General features: G+C 45.6%; 1 pseudogene; it reads right to left on the bottom strand.

Annotated features, from left to right (window-relative positions):
* RN7SL338P (RNA, 7SL, cytoplasmic 338, pseudogene) lies at nucleotides 1,071-1,363 on the bottom strand (annotated as a pseudogene).

Below are 3,889 nucleotides of genomic sequence, written 5' to 3'. Positions count from 1 at the left end.
GGTAGAGGCCACAGTGAACAGTGATCTTACCACTGCACTTCAGCCTGGGTGACAGAATGAGACCCTGTCTAAGAAAGAAATTGGTAAAAATATAAGCAAAATTAAAAAAATATTTCCAATAACCAGAGGTCATCACTGTTTTAATAACTTTAGTGCATATGTTTCTGGATCTTTTTTGTGTATGTGTACGTGTCTATACATGTGGTATTTTTAAACCCAAATTGAGATCATACTGCATTATAACTTTTTCGTTTTGGTCAGTATCTTTTTTTTTTTTTTTTTTGAGATGGAGTCTTGCTGTGTTGCCCAGGCTAGAGTCCAGTGGTGAGATCTCGGCTCACTGCAAGCTCCACCTCTTGGGTTCACGCCATTCTCCTGCCTCAGCCTCCCTAGTAGCTGGGACTACAGGCACCCACCACCAAGCCCGGCTAATTTTTTTGTATTTTTGGTAGAGACAGGGTTTCACCATGTTAGCCAGGATGGTCTCGATCTGCTGACCTCGTGATCCACCACCGCCTCGGCCTCCCAAAGTGCTGGGATTACAGATGTGAGCCACCGTGCCCGGCCTTGGTCAGTATCTTTACCTTTCCCTTTATGTAAATGTTCTTGGTTGAGCGTGGTGATGGTGGCTCATGCCTATAATCCCAGCACTTTGAGAGGTCGAGACAGGAGGATTGGTTGAGGCCGGGAGTTTGAGACCAGTCTGGGCAACAAGAGTGAGTCCTCATTTCTACAAAAAATAAAAAAAAAAGTTTGCTGGGCATGGTGGTACACAGCTGTAGTCCTAGCTACTCAGGAGGCTGAGGCAGGAGGATCACTTAAGCCCAGGAGTTAGAGGCTGCAGTGAGCTGTGATTACACCACTGCACCCTAGCCTGGGTGACAGAGCATGACCCTGTCCCTAAAAGCAAAATTCTAGAGGTCAAGAACCAAACTAGATACCCATACCATATTCGGAGTTTCCCCCAAGCGACCCAAATATCATTCACAGCTATTTGGACCAAACCAATATCTAACCTAGGTCCACAAGTTGGCATCTGTTAGATTCCTTTATTCAAACTTTGAAAAATAAGAGACAGGGTTTCGTTCTGTTGCTCAGGCTAAGAGTGTAGTGGCTATTTACGGGTGCTATATCGCTACTGATCTGTGCAGGAATTTTATCTGCTGTGTTTCCCACCTGGGCCAGTTCACCCCTTCTTAGGCACTGGTGGTCCCCCACTTCTGGAAGGTCACCATTATTGATGCCAAACTTAGCATCATTCGGTTCCCAATCGTCATGGCACACTACATCCTGGGCTCAAGGGATTCTCCTGCCTCAGCCTCCCAAGTAGCTGGGCTTATAAGTATGTACCACCACCCCTAGCCTTTTACTCAAACTTTTATGACACTTGTTGAAGAGATCGGGGCAGTTGATCTCCAGAGAATTGTAGCCATGTGCAGGATGGATTAGAAGGAATAGAGCAACCAATTTAGTGAGAAATAATGACTAAGACAATAGTGATGGTGGAAATGGAGAGGGGAAGATGGATTTGAAATACATTTCATAGGTATAATTGACAAGTTTTGTTTTGTTTTGTTTTGTTTTTTTGAGATGGAGTCTTGCTCTATTGCCCAGGCTGGAGTGCAGTGGCATGATCTCAGCTCACTGCAACCTCCGCCTCCTGGTTCAAACAATTCTTCTGCCTCAGCCTCCCAAGTAGCTGGGATTACAGGTGCACACCACCACACCCGGCTAATTTTTGTGTTTTTAGTAGAGATGGGGTACCACCCAGGCTGGTATCGATCTCCTGACCTCAAATGATCCTCCTACCTCGGCCTGCCAAAGTGCTGGGATTACACGCATGAGCCACTGAGCCTGGCTGACAAGATTTGGTGATGGCTTAGATCAGGGAGGAAGGAAGAGTCAAAGCTTAAGTATTTAGGTGGATGTCATGCATTTTGATAGGAATGGGCGTGTTGGAGGAAAAAGTTAAAGGGAAAATACGTTTTTGGACAAGTCAAATATGAGATAATGTCTGGTATGCTGTTGAATATGGGGACCTGAAGCCTAGAGATGCTTAGAAATGACTCATGTTTTTACAATACACCATATTTAATGGAATGGGCTCAAGACATTCTATTTTTAAAAAATGGTATTGGTAAATTGGACATGATTTTGGGGAAGGTTAGATTATCACCTCATACCATAAAAATCGGTAATCTAAAACATAAATATGCAAAATTATCAAAGTGCCAGGAGAAAATGTTTTAGAAGTCATGAAGTAAAGTGTTGGTAGATTTAACTACATAAAAAAATTTTTCTTTGATACAATAGAAGTCACCATAAAATTAGCCAATAAGATACAAATTGGAAGAAAATATTTGGAACATACATAATAGTTTGGGTCACTATCTCTGTAGGCAGGATCATGGCCCTCAAGATGCCCACGTCGTAATCCTTGGAACCTATGTATATATTATTTCACATGGAAAAAGGGGCATTAAGGTTCCAGGTGGAATTAAGGTTGCTAATCAACTGACTTCATTTATTTATTTAGAGACAGGGTCTTGCTCTGTCGTCAAGGCTGGAGTGCAGTGACATGATCTTGGCAACCTCCGCCTCCTGGGTTCAAGCGATTCTCCTGCCTCAACCTCCGGAGTAGCTGGGATTACAGGCACACATACCATGCCAGGCTAATTTTTGTATTTTTAGTAGAGATGGGGTTTTGCCATATTGGCCAGACTGGTCTTGAACTCCTGGCCGCAAACGATCCAGCTGCCCTGGCCTCCTGAAATGCTGGGACTGTTAAGGCATGAGCCACTGCTGCGCCTGGCTATCAACTGACTTTAAATTGGAAGGGTGTCCTGGATTATTCAGCTTTGTCCAGTGTAATCATAAGGGTCCTTAAAAGTGGAAGAGGTAGGGTCGGGCGCAGTGGTTCATGTCTGTAATCCCAGCACTTTTTGGGAGGCCGAGGCGGGTGGATCACTTGAGGTCAGGAGTTTGAGACCAGCCTGACCAACATGGAGAAACTCCATCTCTATTAAAAATACAAAATTAGCCAGGCGTGGTGGCGCATGCCTGTAATCCAAGCTACTCAGGAGGCTGAGGCAGGAGAATCACTTGAACACAGGAGGCAGAGGTTGCAGTGAGCCGAGATTGTGCCATTGCACTCCAGCGTGGGTGATAAGAGTGAAACTCTGTCTCAAAAAAAAAAAAAAAAAAAATGGCTCACGCCTGTAATCCCAGCACTTTGGGAGGCCAAGGCGGGCGGATCACGAGGTTAGGAGTTCGAGACCATCCTGGCTAACATGGTGAAACCCTGTCTCTACTAAAAATACAAAAAAATTAGCCCGGCGTAGGTGGTGCACACCTGTAGTCCCAGCTACTCGGGAGGCTGAGGCAGGAGAACGGCATAAAACCTGGGAGGCGGAGCTTGCAGTGAGCCGAGTTCGTGCCACTGCACTCCAGCCTGGGAGACAGAGCGAGACTCCATCTCAAAAAAAAAAAAAAAAAAAAAAGTGGAAGAGGGAGGCAGAAGAGGTCAGAGTGATACAATGTGAGAAGAACTTGACTTGCCTTTGCTAGCTTTAAAGATAGAAGAAGGGGGTCAGTAACCAAGGAATGTGGGCAGCCTCTAGAAACTGGGAAAGGCAAGGAGTGAATCCTACCCAGAGCCTAGAGAAAAGGATGTAGGCCTGCCAACCCCTTGATTTTAGCCCTGTGAGACATGTGTCAGACTTTTTTTGCGGGGAGGAGACAGGGTCTCTTTTGCCCAGGCTGGCATGTAGTGGTGCAGTGGCTCACTGTAGCCTTGACCTCTCTGGTTCAGGTGATCCTCCCACCTCACCTTGCCCAGTAGCTGGGACTATAGGCATGCACCACCATGCCCAGCTAATTTTTGTGGTTT

This window comes from Homo sapiens, chromosome 9 (assembly GCF_000001405.40).
Source record: "Homo sapiens chromosome 9, GRCh38.p14 Primary Assembly".
NCBI lineage: Eukaryota > Metazoa > Chordata > Mammalia > Primates > Hominidae > Homo > Homo sapiens.
This window is presented reverse-complemented; position numbering and strand designations above follow the sequence as displayed.